Here is a 24518-nt window from a genome sequence, read left to right as displayed (position 1 = left end):
GCTGATTTAAAACAACATACAGTTGACCCTTGAACAATGGGGGTAAGGGTATACCATGTATAACTTTTACTCCCCAAACACTTAATTAGTAACAGCCTGATGCTAACCAGAAGTATTATCAGTAACAGTCGATTAACATATTTTATATATGTATTCTATACTGTATTCTTACCATAAAGTTAGAGAAAAGAAAATGTTATTAAGAAAATCATAAGGAAGAAAAATATATTTACTATTCATTAAGTGGAAGTGGATCATCATAAAGGTCTTCATCCTCAATGTCTTCAAATTGAGTAGGCTGAGGAGGAGAAAGAGGAGGGGGTTGGTCTTGCTGTCTCAGGGAAGGCAGAGGCAGAAGAGGTAGAGAAGGTGGAAGGGGAGGCAGGCACACTCAGTTTAACTTTACGGAAAAACATTGTAATTTCTTTTTTGCTTTTTCATTTCTTTAAAAATATTTCTATACAAAACCAATCCTTCTTTCATCATTTGCTTCAGTTTCAGTGCCTGTATCACACAATGGTCCATGTTGTACAGTAAGTCTAAAGCAGTCTTGAATAATCAGAACCCTTCTGCCAGATTGTCTACAGTCAATTTGTTTTCTGGCACTACTTCTTTGCCTTCTTCCTTATCGTCCAACGCTGGTTTGGAAGCACCGGCATCTTCATTAAATCATCTTCTGTTGATTCCTCTGGTTGATGTCTATTAGCTCTTGTCTTATCCACAGTCTCTTTCATAAATTCCTTGACTGGCTCTGCTACAAATCCTGTGAAATCATGCTCAACATCGGTACACAGTTTTCTCCAGCAGGAAGTTACTGTTTTGTGCTTGATGGCTTTCATGGCTTTTTCTATAACGATGGCATCTTCAGCGGTGTAATTCCTCCAGATTTTCATGATGTTCTATTGAGGTTAGAGTACCGTGTGTTATTAACCTTAAAGGTCCTCATGATCCCCTGATCTAGATGCTGAATTAGAGACTGTGTTCGGGGGCAAGTAGACCACTTCAATGTTTTCGGTGTTAAACTCATGGGGTTCTGGGTGGCCAGGGGCACTGTCCAACATCAAAAGAACTTTAAAGGGCTGTCCCATAATGGCAAGGTATTTCCTGATTTCAGGGACAAAGTATTGATGGAACCAATCCAGAAAAAGGATTCTCAGTGTTCAGGTCTTCTTGTTGAATGATCAAAAAACTGGCAGCTTCAAAAGACTTTTCCCTTCAGGTCTTGGGGGTTAGCAACTTTATACGTAAGGGCAGTCAGTCCTGATCATAAACCCAATTGCATTTGCACAGAACAGTAGTTAGCCTATCCCTTCCTGCCTTAATTCCCTGTGCTTTCTTCTTTTCCTAACACTCATGTCCTTTGTGGCCTGCCCCCCTCCCTGCCACCCCGAGAATAGGACACTTTTAACTGCATTAAAGACTTGTTCAGCGGTGCCCAGGAACTTGTCTGCTGTGTCTTAGTCAGCAGAAGCTGCTTCTCCTGTTAGCCTGCCATTTTTAGGCCAAGCCTCTTTCTAAAATTATCAAACCATTCTTTGCTGGCATTAACTCCTCTAGCTTCTCTTCCGTTTTGCTTTAAGTTGTCATATAATAACTTCACTTTTTCTTGAATATCATAGTCTACAAGTATGCCCTTTTTTTTTGTTTTTTTTTTTGAGACAGAGTCGCTCTGTCGCCCAGGCTGGAGTGCAGTGGTGTGATCTCAGCTCACTGCAAGCTCTGCCTCCCGGGTTCACACCATTCTCCTGCCTCAGCCTCCCGAGTGGCTGGGACTACAGGCGCCCGCCACCACGCCTGGCTAATTTTTTGTATTTTCAGTAGAGACGGGGTTTCAACGTGTTAGCCAGGATGGTCTCGATCTCCTGACCTCGTGATCTGCCCGCCTTGGCCTCCCAAAGTGCTGGGATTACAGGCGTGAGCCACCGCGCCCAGCCTACAAGTATGCCTTTCTTATAGCAATCCTGTACCCACATAAGAGCTGCATTTTCAACATGAGATAAAAAGGTATTCTGTAAAAAGTGCAAGGTTTCACACCTCCTGCTGTGGCTGCAGTGATGGCTTCACAAATTTTCTTTTATTTAAAATGGTCCTTATGCTGGATTAATTTATCTTGAAATAACGGGCAACCACAGCTGCAGACCTCATTCTACAGTACATATTAAGCAATTCAATTTTTTCTTGTAATGTCATGACTTTTCTGTTTCTCAGGATTGCTTCTGGCATCACTAGTGGCACTTTGTATAGGTCTGATGGTGTTATTCAAGGTTTATGGTATTGCACTAGACACGATGAAAACACGCAAGAACCACAAAAGACCTCTTTTGATTGCAATATGGGATTTACTGGAGACACAAACTGTTCACGGGGAGATGATCCACATCACATGGTGTTTTAAGCAGACACTTGGAAACATACGAGCTCACCAAAATAGCAACAGGAGGTGGCTACAAAATTATCACAGTAGTACAGTATGTATTAGTTATTTTTATGCAATTATGATTTAATACTGCATCTCTGTTACATTTCTCTTGATGCAAAAGGTGCCTTGTATGGGCTCTGTGTGTTTGAGTGTTAATAAATTTAAACTTTTAATAATAGATCTGTGTATGTTTTATGGTAGTAATAAAATAGACTAGTATCTACATATACTTTAGACATTCATAATATACTTAACTTTTTCTTAATTTCCCCCCCGCCCAATATTTCTAGGTTATGTGGCTTGTCTGTGAGTTTTTCAAGTTGTTGCAAGTCTCTAACATTTTTTCCAAAAGATTTGTTTTTAAAAACCTGTTTATAGAGCTGGGTGTGGTGGCACACACCTGTAATCCCAGCTTCTTGGGAGGCTGAGAAGGAAGAATCACTTGACCCCTGGAGTTTGAGACCAGCCTGGGCAACACTGCGAGTCCCCATCTCTTTAAACAAAAATATCCATGTGTAAGTGAACCTGCAGTTCAAGGGTCAATGACAGTTTAAAAGGGGGTAGACAAAGGTGGGATTAGGGAGGAAACAACTCTTTTGTTGCAAGGACGATACCCTTAGTAGAATCACAAGCTTAACAAAGAAAAATTATACCGCATGTGGTGGCTCACGCCTGTAAAGCCAGCACTTTGGGAGGCTGAGGTGGGTGGATCACATGAGGTCAGGGGTTCGAGACCAGCCTGGCCAATATGGCAAAACCCTGTCTCTACTAAAATTACTAAAATTAGCCGGGTGTGGCGATGCACGTCTGTAATCTCAGCTACTTGGGAGGCTGAGGCAGGACAATCACTTGAACCCAGGAGGTGGAGGTTGCAGTGAGCTGAGATGATACCACTGCACTCCAGCCTGGGTGACAGAGCAAGACTTTGTCTCGGGAAAAAAAAAATTATAATATACTATAAAGAAACTCGCTGGCTGGATGCGGTGGCTCATGCCTATAATCCCAGCATTTTGGGAGGCCGAGGCGGGCGGATCACGAGGTCAGGAGATTGAGACCATCCTGGCTAACACAGTGAAACCTCGTGTCTACTAAAAATACAAAAAATTAGCTGGGTGTGTTGATGGACGCCCTGTAGTCCCAGCTACTCAGGAGGCTGAGGCAGGAGAATGGTGTGAACCCGGGAGGTAGAGCTTGCAGTGAGCCAAGATAGCACCACTGCACTCCAGCCTGGGCAACAGAGCGAGACTCCGTCTCAAGAAAAAAAAAAAAGAAACTCCCTATTTAGGGATTCCATGGTCTTATCTGAATTTAGTGCCTCTTAATTTATGTTACTGCTAAAACAAAGGCAACTTGGCAAATATCCAGTAATAAGCAGCAATATACCAGGTGCTCCTAAAATCCTGCCATGTGCTAAAAGTAAGAGGCATTTTGATCTCAGAATCTAAGGATGGACTTCGGGGACATCAATAATTCCAAGGAGCACACATAAAACTTTGCAAGTTGTATAAGTACATCATTCTGGTAAGATTCTAATTTCTCAAAGGGGTCCATGATCCCAAAGAAGTACAGAAGCATGGTTTTAAAAGCTCCCAGCTGCTAAATGGACAAATTATCACAGTGACCTGTAATAATCTACCCACATCCTAAACACTGCAAGTTACCAGAGCCACTAACATGAACCTCCACTCAAAGAGAAGATAAATTATCTGTAGCTTTAGAAGTCACTGTTCTACTAAGAACACCTGTAAGTTAGGTGCAAGCAGGCTGATGGAACGAAGCCGAAGCCAATAAATAAATGATCAATGAAGTATAAAAAAGGGAAAATTACCTTATATATAAATTTATAAGTGTTAAGATATTTTCAGCCTGTTTTTTAAAAAAGCTTTAGCAATCAGACCACCAATTTACAACCTACTACACCTCCACGCCAACTCACATCAGTATTCTGGGGCTAGTGAGGAAATAGGTATAATTCTTTATACATGTGTACCATTTCAGAGCATAAATATAATTCTAGCTCAAAAATATATTTGAAAGTAAGCCTGCTGGGCACAGTGGCTCATGTGTATAATCCCAACATTCTGGGAAGCCAATGCAGGAAGATTGCTTGAGCCCAAGAATTTGAGGCCAGCCAGGGCAACACAGTAAGACCCCATCACCACAAAAATAAAAATTAGCCAGACATGATATAGCACGCTTGTGGTCCTAGGTACCTGGGAGGCTAGGCTGGGAGGATAGCTTGAGCTCAGGAGGTAGAGGCTGCAGTAAGCTGTGATTGTGCCACTGCACTCTAACCTGACAGAGTGAGACCCTGTCTTTAAAAAGAAAAAAAAAAAAGCAAAGCTAAGACCTGAAAAGACTTGGGATACACTTCTTTGAATAACAAAACACAAAAACTAAGACAAAGGTCAAAATAGTATTATACAACTCTTTTTAAAATTTATTTTTTTTTTGAGACAGGGTCTCGCTGTGTCACCCAGGCTGGAATGCACTGCTATAATCAGCTCACTACAGCCTTGATCTCCTGGGCTCAGGTGATCCTCCCACCTCAGCCTACCAAATAGCTGGGACTACAGGTACTCACCGCCATATCCGACTTTAAAAAATAAACTTTTTTAGTAGAGATGAGGTCTTGCTATGTTGCTCAAGCTGGTCTCGAACTCCTAAACTCAAGCAATCCTCCCACCTTGGATTCCCAAAGTGCTGGGATTACAGGTGTGAGCCACCGTGCACAGCCCTATACATCCTTACTTGGATGATCTTACTAACAATAAGCAGCAAGCATGATGAGGTTAAAGACTTCACTGCTGAGCCAGGGGACCAATAAAACAGCACTCAGAATACACAGAACTTCTCTCATACATTTTCTTATGCCAACATGCACATTAATCTTTTTTCAGTCGGATACGCATTGTGTTTACAACCACTTACGGCAAAAACACCCAAAGAAAGATTGGTAGTTGCACCACACAGACATATCCATAAAGAGACATGTTTATGCAGGAGGACACATATCTCTATGAATCACACATGCAGACTGTAACTAGCTTAAAATATGGTTAATTTTCCCAAGGTACTAATACAGAGAGGTGCATTTAGACCAAGGTTTCTCAACTTCGGCCATACAGACATTTTGGGTCAGCATTCTGGGTTAGCATTCTTCTTGTACCCAAGCTGTGATAACCAAAAATATCTCCACATATTGACAAATGTAAAACTGTCCTTGACTGAGAATCACAGATTTAGAGATCACTGTCTATCATTAAATAGAAACAACAAATACTTTAAAAGGATGTTGAAGTTTAATAATAATGAAACCATTCAGAAACCAATATATATTTCACAAATATAAGCCTCATAGTTGTTCTGATATTTGACTAGGTACATGAGAACCTGTTAATTCCCCACCCCCACCCCACCCCCGGCCTTTGTTTTTTTTTAAAGCACTTATTTGCCCGGGAGGTCTGGGCTACAGTGGGCTGTGTTCACACCACTGCACTCCAGCCTGGGAAACAGTGAAACCCGGTCTCAAAAAAAAGGGGGAGGAGGGGACGTTACTTTGTAAAAATTGGAGCTAAAAGAACATCTTTTTGGCCGGCGTGGTAGCTCACGCCTGTAATCCCAGCACTTTGGGTGGCTGAGGACGACGGACCATGAGGTCAGGAGTTCGAGACTGGCCTGACCAACATGGTGAAACCCCGTCTCTACTAAAATTACAAAAATTAGCCAGGCGTGGTGGCACACGCCTGTAATCCCAGCTACTCAGGAGGCTGAGGCAGGAGAACCACTTGAATCCGGGAGGTGGAGTTTGCAGTGAGCTGAGATTTGCGCCACTGCACTCCAGCCTGGGCAACAGAGCAAGACTCCGTCTCAAAAAAAAAGAACATCTTTTTATATCTATTAGAGAAATAATCTGAGACTTGGGTTTCCTAAGGATTTGTCCTTCCTAAGCTAAGTTATTTGGTCCAAAGTACGTTTCTCTAAATATCTCTATAGCCAAGGTAGTTATGTTCCCCAGTTACCCAAAGTAAATTAACATATATGATCTCTCTTAAATTGGAATCCACTGCACTTTTTTATCAGTCCCATCTTTATCTGGGTAACTTCTCATCTCCTCAGGTCTCAGTTTAAAGTCGCTCCTCTCACCTCCCAGGCTATGTTAGTTAGGTACTTGTTTTATTTACATGTTAACAACTTTGTACTTCCTAACTCTTTTGTTTTTTTTGTTTTTTTTTTTTTTTTGAGACGGAGTCTCGCTCTGTCGCCCAGTCTGGAGCGGAGTGCAGTGGCACGACCTTGGCTCACTGCAAGCTCCGCCTCCTGGGTTCACGCCATTCTCCTGCCTCAGCCTCCTGAGTAGCTGGGACTACAGGCACCCGCCACCATGCCCGGCTAATTTTTTTTCTTATTTTAGTAGAGACGGGGTTTCACCGTGTTAGCCAGGATGGTCTCAATCTTCTGACCTGGTGATCCGCCAGCCTCGGCCTCCCAAAGTGCTGGGATTACAAGCATGAGCCCCCCGCACCCGGACCTTCCCAACTCTTAACACTAAGTAGGGGATCATTTATGTTGTTTACGCTGCATCCCCAGCCTAGTTCAAAAACACTGATCCCAAGAGTTGTCCCTTGATGTAAAGTTTCACCTCAACAAGTTTCAAAACCTTCATATAATAACTCCCCCTCTTGGACATTCGCAACACACTAAAGCATATAAAAATTGAATAAAAATACCTATTTAACGTATTTGTCCACAGAATGTCATATGCCAAGTAATACTACTAAAAAGTAGAACACGCTTCAGAAAACACAGATTTAAGAGTATATAAATTCTTCTTATCTCTATTCCAAGGAACAGAAAACTTGTATTTGTCTCCTTTTGCTAAAGAAATACAAAGAGTGGCACAGTGGCACATGCCTGAAGTCCAGCTAACTCAGGAATTTGAGACCAGCCTCCTGGGCAACACAGCAAGACCCTCTCTCTTAAAAAAAGAAAAAGAAAAAAAAAAAGGCCGGGCGTGGTGGCTCACGCCTGTAATCCCAGCACTTTGGGAGGCCGAGGTGGGCAGATCATGAGGTCAGGAGATCGAGACCATCCTGGCTAACACGTTGAAACCCCATCTCTACTGAAAATACAAAAAATTAGCTGGGTGCGGTGGCGGGTGCCTGTAGTCCCAGCTACTCGGGAGGCTGAGGCAGGAGGATGGTGTGAACCCAGGAAGCAGAGCTTGCAGTGAGCTGAGACAGCGCCACTGCACTCCAGCCTGGGCGACAGAGCAAGACTGCGTCTCAAAAAAAAAAAAAAAAAAAAAAAAAACACAAGACAGAAAGAAAGAAAAGAAATACAGTCTCCATGGGGAATGGCTGATTGGTTCCAGGACCCTACTTCCTTTATCAAAATCCATGCATACTCAAGTCCTGCAGCCAGCCCTGTGAAACAGACATATACAAAGAAGGCTCCACACCAACCTATATTATATGTGAGTATCAAAATTCATATTTTCAATCTGCCTTTAGTTGAAAAAAATGTATATTAAGTGGACCTGTGAGTCAGGCATGGTGGCACATGCCTGTAGTCCTAGCTACCAGGAAGGCTGAGATGGGAGAATTATTGGAGCTCAGGGTTTTAACACCAGCCCGGGCAACATGGTGAGACACCCATCTCAAAAATATTTTTTAATTAAAAAATATTAACAACTGGTGGGGCGCAGTGGCTCATGCCTGTAATCCCAGCACTTTGGGAGGCCAAGACAGGTAGATCACGAAGTCAGGAGTTCAAGACCAGACCAGCCTGACCAAGATGGTGAAATCCCATCTCTACTAAAAAATACAAAAAAAATTAGCCGGGCGTGGCAGCATGCACCTGTAGTCCCAGCTACTCAGGAGGCTGAGGCAGAAGAATCACTTAAACCAGGGAGGCGGAGACTGCAGTGAGCCAAGATGGCGCCACTGCACTCCAGCCTGGGCGACAGAGCAAAACTCCGTCTCAAAAAAAAAAAAAAAAACAGTAATAACAACTCTACCTGTGTAGTTCAAACCCACATTGTTCAAGGGTCAACTGTAATTGTAAGGAAAGGTATTAAAGCTCAATTCAGTTTTTAAAAAAATAACAGTTTTGAGTTTATAATTTACATATCATAAAATTCACCCTGTAAAAATATACAATTCAGTGTTTTTTTAGTTATTTACGAGGCAGTTCAACTATCACCACTACTAACTTTATAATATTTTTATCACTCCCCTATAAACCTGTACTCATAGCAACCACTCTTTTCTCTCCAAACATCACCCCCAGCACCTGGCAATCATGAATCTACTTTCTGTCTCTATGTTTTTGTCAATTTGGGGCATTTTATTTAAAGGGAATCATGTAAGGCCTTTTATGTCTGGCTTCTTTCATAAGGTTTTCAAGGTTCACCCACACTGTACCAAGTATCAGTCCTTCATGCCTTTTAATGGCTGAGTGATGTTCCCTTATATGAATATACACATTTTATTTATCCATTCATCAGTTGATGGATGTTTGGGTTGTTTCTGGTTTTTTTTTTTGGCTATTGTGAACAATGCTGCTATAAATACTTGTGTACACCTTTTGTGGATATATATTGTTAATTCTCTTGGGTAAATACCTAAGAGTAGAACTGCTGGTCATAAGGTAACTGTATGTTTAACCATTTTGAGAACTGCCAAAATATCTTCCAAACCAGCTGCATCTTTCTACAATTCTACCAGCAATATATGAGGGTTACAATTTCTCTCCATCTTTGTGAACGCTTGTTAGAGTCTGTCCTCTTTTCTTCCATTCTGTGGGTTGGCTTTTTACTTTCTAAATGGTAGAACCTTCAAAGCACAAAGGTTTTAAATTTGATGTAGCCCAATTTATCCATTTCTTTTCTTTTGCCACTTCATGGCTTTAGATCTTACATGTAGGTCCATGATCCTTTTTGGTTTTTTTTCTTTTTTTGAGACAGAGTCTCACTCTGTTGCCCAGGCTGGAGTGTAGTAATGCAATCATGGTTCACTGCAGCCTCGACCTCCTGGGCTCAAGTGATCCCACCTCAGCCTCCCAGATAGCTGGAACTACAAGTGCATACCACCATACCCGACTAATTTTTTTTTTTTTTTTTTGTATATTTTTGTAGAGATGGGGTTTCACCATGTTGCCCAGGCTGGTCTCAAACTCCTGGGCTCCAGCGACCCACCCACCTTGGCCTCCCAAAATGTTGGGATTACAGGTGTGGGTCACCATACCCAACCTTTGTGGTCCATTTTGAGTTAACTTTTCTGTATGGTATGAAGTAGGTGTCTAACTTTCATTCTTCCACACAAGGATAGCCAGTTTTCCCAGCACCATTTGTTGGAAAGACTATTCTTTTGCCCATTGAATTGTCTAGCCATCTTGTTAAAAGTCAACTGACCATATATGTAAGAGTTTATTTTTAGACTCTCAATACTATTCAATCAATCTTTATGACTATCCTTATGTCAGTATCACAGTGTTTTGATTATTGTGGCTTTGCGGTTAAGTTTTAAAACCAGAAAGTATAAATCTTACAACTGTGTACTTCCTTTTCAAGATTATTTTGGCTACTCTGGGTCCCTTGCCTTTCTATATTAGTTTTAGGGTCAATTTGTCAATTTCTACGGGGGGGAATTTTTAAAAAAGCAATTGGGATTTTGATAGGGATTGCACTAAATCTGTAGATCACTTTGGGTAGTAATGCCATCTTAATATTGTCTTCCAATTCACAAATAATGGCTATCTAATTATTTAGATCTTTAATTTCTTTCAACAATATTTTGTGGTTTTCTGTGTTCAAGTCTTACACTCTTTTGGTTAAATTTACTCCTAAGTATTTTTTGCCTTTTGATATTATTACAAATGGAAATTTATTCTCAATGTAATTTTTAGGTTATTGCTAGTGTACAGAAATAAAGCTGATTTTTATATGTTGATCTCATTTCTTGTAACCTTGCTGAACTTGTTTATTAGTTCTAAGAGTTTTCTGGGTATATGTTTGTGGGTTCTTAAGGATTTTCTATATAAAATATTCTACCATTTATAAATAGTTGTTTCACTCTGGATGGCTTTTTTTCTTTCTTTCTTTTTTTTTTTTTTTTTAGCTCTGGCTGGAACTCAGCATAATGTTGAACAGAAGTGGCCAGAGTAGATATTCTTGCCATGCTCTTGATCTTAGGGGACAGGTACAATAATAGCTGTGGTATTTTTATAGATGTCACTTACAGGATTAAGGAAGTTCTTTGCTATTCCTAGTTTGTTGACTTTTTTTTGAGACAGAGTCTTGCTCTGTCGCCCAGGCTGGAGCACAATGGCACGATCTTGGCTTACTGCAACCTCCACCTCCTGGGCTCAAGCGATTCTCCTGCCTCAGCCTCCCGAGTAGCTGGGGTTACAGGTGTTTGCCATCACACCTGGCTGATTTTTGTATTTTTAGTAGAGACGAGGTTTCACCATGTTGGCCAGGCTGGTCTCGAACTCCTGACCTCAGGTGATCCACTTGCCTCGGCCTCCCAAAGTGCTGGGATTTACGGGTGTGAGCCACTGCGTTTGGCTGACTGTTTTAATCATAAAAGAATGTTGGATTTTGTCAAATGTTTTTTCTGTGTGAACTGAGATAACTGTATGGTTTTGTCGTCTATTAATATGGTGTATTACATTGACAGGTTCTGACCCTTGCATTCCTGGGTAAGTTCCTCTTGATCATGTTATATAATCCTTTAATACACCAGAGAAACAAGATTTCCTCTTTCTTTCTTTTTGAGACGGAGTTGCACTCTGCTGCCCAGGATGGAGTGCAGTGGTGCAATCTTGGCTCACTGCAACCTCCTCCGCCTCCTGGGTTCAAGTGATTCTCCTGCCTTGGCCTCCTGAGTAGCTGAGACTACAGGTGCCCACCATCATGCCCGGCTAATTTTTTGTGTTTTTCATAGAGACAGGGTTTCACCATGTCGACCAGACTGGTTTCAAACTCCTGACCTCAGGTGATCCGCCTGCCTCAGCCTCCCAAAGTGCTGGGATTACAGGCATGAGCCACTGCGCCTGGCCAAGATTTTCTTTTTAAATAACTTCTTTTCTTTTTCAGAGACAGAGTCTCACTCTGTCACCCAGGCTGAAGCACAGTGGTATGATAATAGCTCACTGCAGCCTTGAATTCTTGGGCTCAAGCAATCTTTCTGCCTCAGCCTCCCAAGTAACTGGGACCACAGGTGTACACCACCACACCCACAATTTTCCTTTTTGATACCTGGGTTGTATGTTTCTCAGTTTATCTTGGGAAACAAACCATCCAGTCTACCATGTCAGATGTTTAAGTCTGCGGTATAATAAAAACATATATTAGGTCTTTGTTCCCAGTTCCTGTCACTGACCTCCCAATTTCCTGAGTGACAGGGTTGTCTTTTGTTATTCATAACAAGATTCTTTTGACTATAATGAGTTTATGCTAATGAGGTGACTGATGACAAGGCTCCTATCTAGCTTCAGAATGGGGGCTGGTCTCCAGAGGAACCAACCAAGTGATAAGAGGATTGGAAATTTCAGTCCCACTTCCTGACCTCCTAGGAGGGGAAGGGAGACAGACATTACACTCAATCACCAGAAGTCAATGATTTAATCAATTATGCCTAAGTGATGGAACTTCAATTCAAAAATCTGAAAAACTGAGGGTAAGGAATATTCCAATTCGGTGAACACATCAAGGTGCTGGGAGAGGTGGCGTATCCAGAGAGGGGATGGAAGCTCTGGAGCCCTGCCGCTACTCCCCACATATGCCTCTCTTCCATTTGGCTGTTCCTGAATTGTATACTTTATAATGAAACTGTAATCCCAAGTATAGCATTTTCCTAAGTTCTATGACTCACCCTAGCAAATGATCACATGGAGTGGCATTGTTGGCATCCCCAAAATCTATAGCCAGCTTGGACAGAAGGCAGAAATGTGGGTAAGCCTGGGGACCCAGGACTTGCAAATGGCATCTCAAGTGAGGGCAATTTTGTAGGAATGAGTCCTTAAACTTGTGGAGTCTGATACTAATTCAGGGTAGTCAGTGTCAGAATAGCATTGAATAGCAGGACACCAGTTCATGTGGTAGAATCAGAGAATTGGTGGTTGTTGGAAACACACTGCAGAATCTCTAAACTGCTCTTACTACAGACTACTTACCTGAACAATAAAATAAAGAATAAGGAAATCAAAATAAAGCTTTTTTGTTTTAAGATTTGTATTTTTTTTTTTTTTTGAGATGGAGTTTCGCTCTTGTTGCCCAGGCTGGAGTACAATGGTGCGTGATCTCAGCTCACTGCAACCTCCACCCCCTGGGTTCAAGCGATTCTCCTGCCTCAGCCTCCCAAGTAGCTGGGATTACAGGCATGTGCCACCCCACCCAGCTAAGTTTGTATTTTTAGTAGAGACGGGGTTTCTCCATGTTGGTCAGGCTGGTCTCGAACTCCTGACCTCAGGTGATCCGCCCACCTCGGCCTCCCAGAGTGCTGGGATTACAGGCGTGAGCCACCGCGCCCAGCCAAGATCTGTGTATCTTTAAATAATTATTAAAAAATAATAAGCTTCTCCCAAAGATTTATTGTAGCAACAAAACAGTGGTAATGAGCCCTTAGGATTGCTACCATTAGGGGTATTATCTTGGGTCTAATATTGGTTTAAGACTTGGTCTTTGTGTATCTGGCCAAAATTTGCTTCAAAGAGTTACTGTTAACAAAACTCAAAGCCTAGAAGGTAGCAATAAGGCATGAAAAACAACTCTTAACAAGAAGCCACCTATGCTGTAGCAAAGAAACAGACATGCTTTGATACATAATTTTAACTTATAAAAAGTAACATCAGGCTGGGTGCAGTGGCTCATGCCTGCAATCCTAGCACTTCAGGAGGCCAAGGTGGGCAGATCACTTGAGGCCAGAAGTTCAAGACCAGCCTGGCCAACATGGCGAGACCCCATCTCTACTACAAATACAAAAATTAGCCGGGTGTGGTGGTGCACACCTGTAATTCCAGCTACTCAAGACACTAAGACACTAGAATCACTTGAACCCAGAAAGCAGAGATTGCAGTGAGCCAAGATTGTGCCACTGCACTCCAGCCTGGGTGATGAAGTGAGACTCTATCTCAAAAAAACCCAAAATACAGAAAAAAAAACAACATTTTCACATGCAATGGAACTATTTTCTTAGTTAGGTTTTTACTATATTAGTATTCCATATATTTCAAAATGCCTAGAAGCAATATTATATTTCTATAACATGAAAAATAAAGTTTTAAAAAATTACTACCGGACATTTCATTCATTCAATAAAAATTTATTAAGAAAAAATTCATTTCCAGAAAATCATTGTAAAATCACTGGTAGCTTCTATTTGGGGTCATCTTGTAAGATGGCTATACAGAGTTTTGGAGTAATTTACTAATTGTCTTGAATGGGGCTCTAGATAGACTGTCCAAAAACTTAAGAAAAAATTAGCAAATAACAACATTAACTTTTTTTTTTTTTTTTTTGGAGACGGAGTCTTGCTCTGTTGCCCAGGCTGGAGTGCAGTGGCGCAATCTTGGCTCATTGCAACCTCTACCTCCCAGGTTCAAGAGATTCTCCTGCCTTGGACTCTTGAGTAGCTGGGACGACAGGTGCACATCACCACACCCAGCTGATTTTTATAATTTTTAGTAGTGATGGGGTTTCACCATGTTGGCCAGGCTGGTCTTTAGCTCCTGACCTCAGGTGATCCTCCCACCTCAGCCTCCCAAAGTGCTGGGATTACAGGCATGAGCCACCATGCCCGGCCAACATTAACTTTTAGAAAATAGAAATACTTCAATAATAATGACTTCAACAGTACATTATATCCTGAAGATCAGTTGGAATATTTATTCTTCCTAACCAAGCACACAAATGTGTGTTCATGAAGGGTTTATACAAGTTCTAGGTCTTACCTCATCTATGTTTCTAAGCCATTTGCTGATGTTTTCAAAACTTTTACCATTGGTGATGTCATATACTAGCATGATACCCATTGCGCCTCTGTAGTAGGAGGTTGTGATGGTGTGAAATCGCTCCTGGCCTGCTGTATCCCTGAAATAAACAGCCAATAATTTCTATTAAGCATTTTGATATTACTACATTTCACATAAAGGACAAAACAAGAATAGTTTTTCCTAAGTATATATAAAAACTTTTTAGTTGAAGGAAATTAATAACCTACCCATACTGGATGAAAATCTGAAAGGGAAAACAGTAGGAAGTGACACATAAAACTCAAGTTTATTGAATAAGCACTAGCAAACACCATAGAAACTCTTAAAATTTCATTTTATTTAATAATTTAGTTCCATAATGTAACACAAAAGCAGGTAGGATTTTTAGAACATTAGAGAACTATACCATAGTACAGTCATATTTACATTTAGAATCATTAACCAAAAGTTGTAAAGATAACCTCACTTATAAATAATAAGACAGAAATGTAAATAGTAGTATTTTCCATTATTTAATGCTTAAAGCCAAAGGTGTAAGATGTATTTTGCTCCTGTAACTATGCCCTCTCATTTGTATCATCATTTTGCTCTTTTATGGATCATCTCATCAGCTTACAAACATGTTTTAGTATCTTTTTTAAAAAAGCAAAAATAAGGTCGGGCGCAGTGGCTCACACTTGTAATCCCAGCCCTTCGGGAGGCTGAGGCGTGTAGATCACTTAAGGTCAGGAGTTCAAGACACTTGGCCAACATGGTGAAACCCCATCTCTACTAAAAATACAAAAATTAGCCCGGCATGGTGGCACGTGCCTGTAATCCCACCTGCTCGGGAGGCTGAGGTAAGAGAACTGCTTGAACACAGGAGGCACAGGTTGCAGTGAGCCAAGATGGTGCCACTACACTCCAGCTTGGGTGACAGAGCGAGACTCCGTCTCAAAATAAATAAATAAATAAATAAATAAATAAATAAATAAATAAATAAATATAAAGCAAAAGACCCCAATCTCAACCCTGTATCTCTCCAACTATCCCTGCTCCTCTTTCGAGTTAATATTTTTAAAACTTTTATTTTGAAATAATTACAGCCTTACAGGAAGTTACAAAACTGTGCAGAGAGGTCCTGGGTACCTTTCACCCAGCTTTTCCTAATGATAACATCTTATATTACTGCAGCATAATAGCAAAACCAGAAAATGGACATTGGATACAATCTACAGACCTTATTAAGATTTCAGGGTTTTTTTTTTTTACATGCACTTATTTGTGTATGTGTGTATATATAGTTCTCTACAATTTATTACATGTACAGATTTGTGTAACTACCACAAGACAAAGAACTATTACATCACCTCTTTACTCCCCATAGTCCCTAAACTCTGATCAATAATCTGTTTTCTATGTTTATATTTTTTTCATTTCCAGAATGTTACGTAAGTGGAATCATGTAGTATGCTACCTTTTGAAATCGGCATTTAACACTTCTTTCACCATAATGCTCTTGAAGTCCTCTCAAGTTTTGCACATAATCCTGGTCTGTCCCATTTCATTGCTGGGTAGCATTCTATGGTATGTCTGTATCACAATTTGCTTAATTATTCACCCATGGAAGGACATTCAGGGTTGTTTCCAGTTTTTGGCTATAACAAAGTTCGAAGAATATTCATTTACAGGTTTCTATGTGGACATAATTTTTCATTTCTTTGAAATAAATGCCCAGGAATGTTATTTATGGGTAATATGGTAAGTGTATAACGGTAAGAAACTGGCCAACTTTTTCCAGAGTGGCTCTATCACTTGACATTTGCACTAGCAACATATAAAAGATCCAGTTTCTCTGCATCCTCACCAGCATTTGATGCTGTCACTTTTTTATTTCTGTAGTTCTAAGAGGGCACATAGTAATATTTCATCATCACATTAATCTGTATTTCCCTGTGGCTAAGATGGTGAACATTTTTTCATGTGTTTATTTGCCATCCACATGTCCTCTTTGGTGAAATGTCTGGTTTTTTTTTTTGCCCATTTTCTAATTGGATTGTTAGTTTTTTGTTTTTGGGGTTTTTTTTTTGAGATAGAGTTTCGATCTTGCCGCCCAGGCTGGAGTGCAATGGCACAGTCTCGGCTCACTGCAACCTCTGCCTCCTGGGTTCAAGTGATTCTCCTGCCTCAGCCTCCCAAGTAGCTGGGATCACAGGCGCCCACCACCACGCCCAGCCAACGGTTGTATTTTTAGTAGAAATGGGGTTTCACCATGTTGGCCAGGCTCGTCTCAAACTCCTGACCTCAGGTGATCAGCCCGCCTCAGCCTCCCAAAGTGCTGGGATTACAGGCGTGAGCCACCGTGGCTGGCCTGGATTGTCAGTTTTTTTGTCTTTTTACTGCTGACTTTTGAAAGTTCTTTTTATACAGAAGTCCTTTGTCAGATACACTGGCTTGTAAATATTTTCTCCAAGTCTGTAGCTAGTCTTTTCATTCCCTTGACAGGGTATTTTGTAGAGAGGAAGCTTTTAATTTTGTGAAAGTCTAATTAATTTACTGATTTTTTTTTCTTTTACAGATCATGTGTTTAGTGTTATGTCTAAGAATTCTTCACCTAGTCTTTTTTTTTTTTTTTTTTTTGAAACAGGGTGTCGCTCTGTTGCCCAGGCTGGAGTGTAGTGGCACGATCTTGGCTCACTGCAACCTCCGCCTCCCAGGTTCAAGAGATTCTCCTGCCTCAGCCTCTGGAATAGCTGAGATTACAGGCACGTGCCACCACATGCAGCTAATTTTTATATTTTTAGTAGAGATGGGTTTTCGCCATGTTGGCCAGGCTGGTCTTGAACTCCTGGCCTCAGATGATCTGCCCGCCTCAGCTTCCCAAAGTGCTGGGGTTACAGGCGTGAGCCACCACACCCAGCCTCTTCACGTAGTCTTATGTTCCAAAGATTTTCTCCTGTATTTTCTTCTAAAAGCCTTATGGGTCTTTTTTTCTTTTTTTGAGACAGAGTCTTGCTCTGTCGCCCAGGCTGGAGTGCAGTGGTGTGATCTCGGCACATTGCAACCTCTGCCTTTCGGGTTCAAGAGATTCTCCAACCTCAGCCTCCCAAAGAGCTGGGACTATAGGCGTGTGCCACCACACTGGACAATTTTTGTATTTCTAGTAGAGACGGGGTTTTGCCATGTTGGCCAGGCTGATCTCAAACTCCTGACCTCAGATGATCCACCCGCCTCAGCCTCCGAAAGTGCTGGGGTTATAGGCGTGAGCCACCGTGCCCGGCCACCTTATGGTTTTATTAAACCGATGGTACATTTTGAGTTAATTTCAAATAGGACATTTCTATGAATGTCCTATTGCTCAAGCACCATTTGCTTGAAATGTCGAAGTAATAACCTTGCTCCATTGAATTGCTTTTGTACCTTTGTCAAAAATCTGCAGGCCATACCACAGTTCAATCTGTGTCTGGGTTCTTTATTCTGTTGCAATCTCCTATGTGTCTAGGCCTCCTCCATTACCATACTGTCCTAGATTACTATGGTTAAATAAAAAGCTTTACAACCAGATAGATTGATTCTTCCCACTTATTTTACTTTGTCAAATTGTTTTAGCTACCCTAGCCTTCCCATATAAATACTAGGATAAGCTTGTCTATATTTACATAAAAATTTTCCCAGCAAATTTCTTTAAAGAGTTTTCTCCAGTTGCTGTTTTCCCACTTTCAGTCCTTAACTGATTCTAATAGGATTGCTATTACTGATTACTCTATCAAAACTCCTTTTCAGAAGGTCTCCAATAACCTGGATGCCAAACCCAATAGCTATTTCCTCTTTATATATCATCCACCTATTAATGACAGGGATATATTCTGAGAAATGCATCATTAGACTATGTCATCATTGTGCACACATCATAGAGCGTACTTATACAAACCTAAATGATTAGAGCCTACAACATACCTGCACTATGTGGTATATAGCATATTGCTCCCAGGCTACAAACCTGTAGAGTATGTGACTATATTGAATACAGTAGACAACTATAACACAATAAGTATTTGTGTATCTAAATATGTCAAAACATAGAAAAGGTACAGTAAAAATGTGGTATTACAATATTGATAAGACAACCATTGTGTATGTAGTCACTGACTAAAATATCATTATGCACTGTATGACTGCATCTTAATCACTAAGTAGGATTCTACACAGTTGACTGCATTCTCTTTTTTCTTTTTATTTTTTTCCTGAGACGGAGTCTCACAGAGTACAGTGGCACAATCTCGGCATACTGCATCCTCCACCTCCCGGGTTCAAGTGATTCTCCTGTCTCAGCCTCCCAAGTAGCTGGGATTACAGGTGTGTGCCACCACGCCCAGCTAATTTTAATATTTTTAGTAGAGATGGGGTTTCACTATGTATGTTGGCCAGGCTGGTCTCAAACTCCTGACCTCAGGTGATCTGCCTGCCTCGGCCTCCCAAAGTGCTGAGATTACAGGTGTGAGCCATTGTGCCCAGCCGACTGCATTCTCTTCTTGTAACACTTTATTCTCATGACTCTTTGGATAAGTTTCTGGTCTTCATTCTAAGTCACTGGCTGCTTGTTAACAATACCTTTTGTTGGCATTCTAAGATTCAGAGATGATGGACTGCCGTTCTCCACACACCAGCCAGAGTGATCTTCTTTAAACATTATGTTTGATCATATTATTCTGCTTAAAACTTCTAATATCTTCATTGGGGAAAAAAAACAGGCTTTCCAACAAATGGTGCTGGAACAACTGAATATATCCATGCAAAAGAAGTAAGTTGGACCTCTACCCCATACCATATATAAAAATTACCTCAAAATGGCAGGGCGCGGTGGCTCACGCCTGTAATCCCAGGACTTTGGGAGGCCGAGGCGGGTGGATCACGAGGTCAGGAGACTGAGACCATCCTGGCTAACACAGTGAAAACCCAACTCTAATAAAAATACAAAAAATTAGCCGGGCGTGGTGGTGGGCACCTGTAGTCCCAGCTACTCAGGAGGCTGAGACAGGAGAATGGCATGAACCCAGGAGGCAGAGCTTGCAGTGAGCCGAGATAGCGCCACTGCATTCCAGCCTGGGCGACAGAGCAAGACTCCATCTCAAAAAAAAAAAAAAAAAATTACCTCAAAACAGATCAAGACCTAAATCCAACAGCTGAACTATAAAAACTCTTAGAAGAAAACATAGGGGTCATCTTCAAATCTTGGATTTGACAACTGTTTCTTACACATGTCACCAAAGCACAAACAACAAAAGAAAAAACAGGTAAATGGGACGTGAAAATTAAAAACTTGTATTTCAGCGAACAATACAAGGTGAAAAGACAACCCACAGAATGGAAGAAACTATTTGCAAACTTGTGTATCTGATATGGGACTTGGGTATGCAGAATATACAAATAACTTACAACTCAACAATAAAAGGACAAATGACCAAACTTAAAAATCAGCAAAAGATCTAAACAGGCATTTATCCAAAGAAGATACACAAATAGCCAATAAACACTTAAGATGCTCAACATCCTTAGTCATTAGTGAAATGCAAATAAAAACCATAATGAGATACCAACCTAGCTCCCCACCACCACAGGATGGCTATGACCCAAACGACAATATACGTTAGTGAGGATGTAGAGAAATTGGGACCCTTATACCCTGTTGGTGACAATGTAAAATGATGCAGCCATGTTAGAAAACAGTCAGGTAGTTCCTCAAAATGTTCAACATGGAGGTACCATATGATCCAACAATTCTAGGCATATAACCAAAAGAAATGAAAACTTGTACGTCCACACAAAAACGTAGACGTGAATGTTCACAGCAACATTATTCATAATAGCCAAAAAGCAGAACAACTGAAAGGTCCATTACTAATGAACGGATAAATAAAATGTGGTATATCCATACAATGGAGTATTATTCAGCCATTAAAAAAAAAGAATGAAGTACTGATTCATGTACAACACAGACAGACCCTGATAACCTCATGCTAAGTGAAAGAAACTAGTCACAAAAGACCATATATTATATGATTCCATCTATTTGAAAAGTCCACATAAAGAAATTTTATACAGACAAAGTTGATCAGTGGTTTCCCTGGCCAGGGAATTGGGAGGATAAAGAGTGACAGGTATGGGGTTTCCTTGGAGGGGAGATAAAAATGTTCTGAAATGGTAACGATGGTTGTACAAATTTGTGAATATACTAAAAACTATTAAATTGTTTTAAATGGGTATATTGTATGGTATGTGAATTATGTATAAAAAAGTCATTATAAAACAAACTGAAAATATGACTAGGCTTTCCAAAAAAATAAAAGTAAAAACAGAAAACTTCCAATAAAAACTCATTATAACCAGAATCAATTCCAAACTCTTTATTCTGGGGATTACAAAGCCTTACAGTAGTTTAAACCCTTCTCCAGCCCCTCTCATTTTGAGGTACTCTTTTCCCCAATCACTAGAAACCATTTTTAAATTCGTAAGTTTGTTCCTACTAAGAGCTTCTGCAAGATCTGTTCCCACTACCTGCATATGACTGGTTTCTCAAAATCTTTTCATATCTTAAATGCACTTAGCATGTTCACATATCTGCCATCTATTCATTTATCCATCAATCCGAATATTAACTGAATGTCTACTATAGGTTGGGCATTATGCAAGAATATACACAGAACATGGGTTTGGGGTCAGGCTTAAGTTTATCCTCAGGTTCTACCCCTCCCAGCTTAGTGACCTTGAATGTACTTAGCTTCCTTGGACCTTAGTAGTTGTTGTTGTTGTTTTCACTTATAAACAATAAGGAGGGATAATGAACAATAAGAAGTATTTTCCATAAAAATATGCAAGGCTGCAATAATGTCAACGTGAGACTCAAAATTTCATTCTATGTTTTTAAGATGTCCTAACAATGCTCTAAATCAAGACCATCTTTGCAGACAGATGCTCTATGGTATTAAGAGCTCTCAAGTTAATATTTATCTGTGCTTACGCAGTACTCAAAGCTGCTTCACAAGGAAAACCCTGGCTTTGCCTGTAGCCCATTTCTATGTAAGTAAAATAAAATGGTGTTTAGCTAAGTGAAAGACTTGGACTTTTTAATCTTAAGAAAATCACAGCCTGGCCAGGGGCAGTGGCTCACGCCTGTAATCCTAGCACTTTGGGAGGCCGAGGTGGGCGGATCACAAGGTCAGGAGATCGAGACCATACTGGTTAACACGGTGAAACCCCGTCTCTACTAAAAATACAAAAAATTAGCTGGACGTGGTGACAGGCACCTGTAGTCCCAGCTGCTCAGGAGGCTGAGGCAGGAGAATGGCATGAACTCAGGAGGCAGAGCTTGCAGTGAGCCGAGATAGCGCCACTGCACTCCAGCCTGGGTGACAGAGCGAGACTCCGTCTCAAAAAAAAAAAAAAAAAGAAAGAAAAAAGAAAAAAAAAAATCACAGCCCAGTCACTTGCTCATTTCATCTCAAAATATATAGATCTGCCCTGGAAAATAAGACAATATCCCATTCTTTCATTCTACCAGTATTATTAAGTACTACACACTAGACATTATTCCAGGCACAAGAGATAAAGCTGTAAATGAAATAAAAATTCCTGCCTATTGAAGATAAACACATAAATAAAACATTATGGAATGTCAGAGAATTATTAAGTGTTAAGGAAACAGAAAGCAGAGCAAGAAAAGAGATTAAGCCTTCTCAGAGAAAATACCAAATGGCAGATCCTGCCACTATCATGGGAGGGTGTGAAGGCACTAGGGGCCCTAGACTGGGAGGCTTCAGGAGTGGTGACTGGGCCAGGGTTGCTGCTGAGGCCTAGGAGCTCAAGGAGGCAAGGACAAGGACAAGGAATAGCTCTCTGTCACCAAGGTGGGTTACCTGATCAAAGACATGACGAGTTCCTGGAGGAAATCTCTCTATTCTCCCCGCCCATCAAGGAGTCTGAGATCGTTCACTTTTTCCTAAGGATGTCCTCAAAGATGAGGTTTTGAAGATTATGCCCATGCAAAAAGAGACCTATGCTGGCCAGTGGACCAGGTTCAAGGGATTTGTCACAGTCAGGGACAAGAGTCACATCAGTCTGTGTGTTAGGTATTCCAAGGAAGTAGTCCCTGCCATCTGCAGGCCACCATTCACTGGCCAACCTCTCCATTTCCCATGTGCAGTGAAGCTACCTGGGGAACAAGATCATTAAGACCCACAGTCCCTTGCCAGGTAACCACTGCAGCTCTGTGCTGGTGGCCTCATCCCAGTCCCTAGAAGCACTGCCCGCCCCTGTGCCCAAAAGCTGCTGCTGATGACCCCTATCAATGACTGCTACACCTCCACCAGGAGCTACACTGCTACCCTAGGCACCTTTGCCAAGGTCACCTTTAATACTATCTTCAAGACCTATAGCTATCTCATCCCCAACACCTCAAGAAAGACAACACGTTCAATGAGTCTCCCTATCAGGAATTCACTGACCATCTTGTAAGACCCATACCGGAGTCTCCATGAAGAAGACCCAGGCTCCAGCTGTGGCTGCTATGTAGTGCTTTTATACAAGAAAAATATAGTGAATTAACTAGGACTCTGAAAAGGGAGAGGGTCCAGCCTGGGCAACATGGTAAAAAGCATAGTAAGATCTAGACTTACCCCACTAAAATGTAAGCTTTTGCAGGCAGGGCTCCTATCTGTCCGATTTATGCTTATATTCCTACCACCAACACCTGGCAAATACATACTCAACAAACATTTATTGACTAAATGACTTTGGTTGCTTACTGTTCGTATTTCACTTCTCATCTTAAACATCACCTCTATAGAGAGGACCTCCCTGATCATTCTATCTAGATCACTTCCTCCCTCATCCTTACCCCATTCTCCAACACTTTACCCTATTCACCTTGCTAGCATTTATCACAATTTGTGATATATTTATTTACTTGTTTGCTCCTGTCCCTATGGGTGTGAGCTCTGACAGGGCAGGTGTCAGGCTGTCTACTTTTGGGAAAAAAAAAAAAAAATCCTTGAATGAAGACAAACATAATTTAAGTTCATGGTATTTTGGGTATAGACAAATTGTTTATCTCTGAAGACATCCAGGTCTTCTTAAAATAAAATGCAACATGAGAAATTTGACATCCTAATTTATAAGGTAAGGAATAACTTCATTATGTTACCAAAAAACACAGGGTTATGAAATCTGGGGTCTCTGCCTTGCAGAGCAGATTGATATGCCTCTGGCCTGTACTGGTTTTGTCAGTGCCCAGACCAAAAATAACTGTCACAATAACAGCCAGAGTACACAGCTTCCCCAACCCCAAGTGTGGTACTAACAATTAAGGAAATATACCTTTTTAATTCCTAGAAACGTATCACTTCTTTTTTATAATGTCAGTGGGAAAAGTAGGATTTCACAGCAATTATTGGCTGTCTATTTATTACTTTAAGTAAGGACAATTCTATTCTCATTGTCTTGTAATTTCAGAAACTTGATCTTACTAAGTAGACTGTCAGGGAATAATTTTTTAATGGCAGAGGATAAGAGAGTAGTTTTGAAAGCAGGCTTAGAAACCTGTATTATGGTGACATAAAAAGATACTGTGAACATGTACAATGTTTAATTGTCCCTTCAGATATTTAACACCTTCTTTTGCTTATTGGATTTGACCTGCTGGACTGGATTAGACTTGGGCATATGTGTGTATGCAAACCTAAAAATAATGTCACCAATAAACAAGCAGCTGTGGCTATTTTTAGCCCTGGGCAACAGATCATCAGTAAGCCTAGAAATAGTGAGGCAAGGACCCTGTTCCCTGATTTGAAATAAACTATTGATTGCCTTAACAACTGGTGGGGGATGGTATAATCAGAGTCCGGGTAGGACCCAGGACAGGACCCAGGAAAAGGATACTTTAAAATCAAGGAGCTAGGTCATTCTGCGGGGTAGATACAGTCATGTTGAAAAGTATAAAAGTTTGAAATACATAAATGAAAATGGGATCTAGAATGTTAAAAAAAAATTGACCAGGCGCAGTGGCTCACACCTGTAATCCCAGCACTTTGGGAGGCCAAGGCGGGCGGATCACGAGGTCAGGAGATCG

General features: G+C 40.9%; 1 protein-coding gene and 1 pseudogene across 2 annotated transcripts in view; one reads left to right on the top strand and one right to left on the bottom strand.

Annotated features, from left to right (window-relative positions):
* RAB10 (RAB10, member RAS oncogene family) overlaps positions 1 to 24518 on the bottom strand; it is a 104170-nt gene that overhangs the window by 13174 nt on the left and 66478 nt on the right. For both annotated transcript variants that reach the window (XM_047443004.1, NM_016131.5), the window contains exon 3: positions 14375 to 14513. In XM_047443004.1, the coding sequence (XP_047298960.1) occupies positions 14375 to 14513 (139 nt within the window). The remainder of the gene's footprint in view (positions 1 to 14374; positions 14514 to 24518) is intronic.
* Positions 22145 to 22964, top strand: RPS2P15 (ribosomal protein S2 pseudogene 15; annotated as a pseudogene).

This window comes from Homo sapiens, chromosome 2 (genome assembly GCF_000001405.40).
Source record: "Homo sapiens chromosome 2, GRCh38.p14 Primary Assembly".
Taxonomy (NCBI): Eukaryota; Metazoa; Chordata; class Mammalia; order Primates; family Hominidae; genus Homo; species Homo sapiens.
This window is presented reverse-complemented; position numbering and strand designations above follow the sequence as displayed.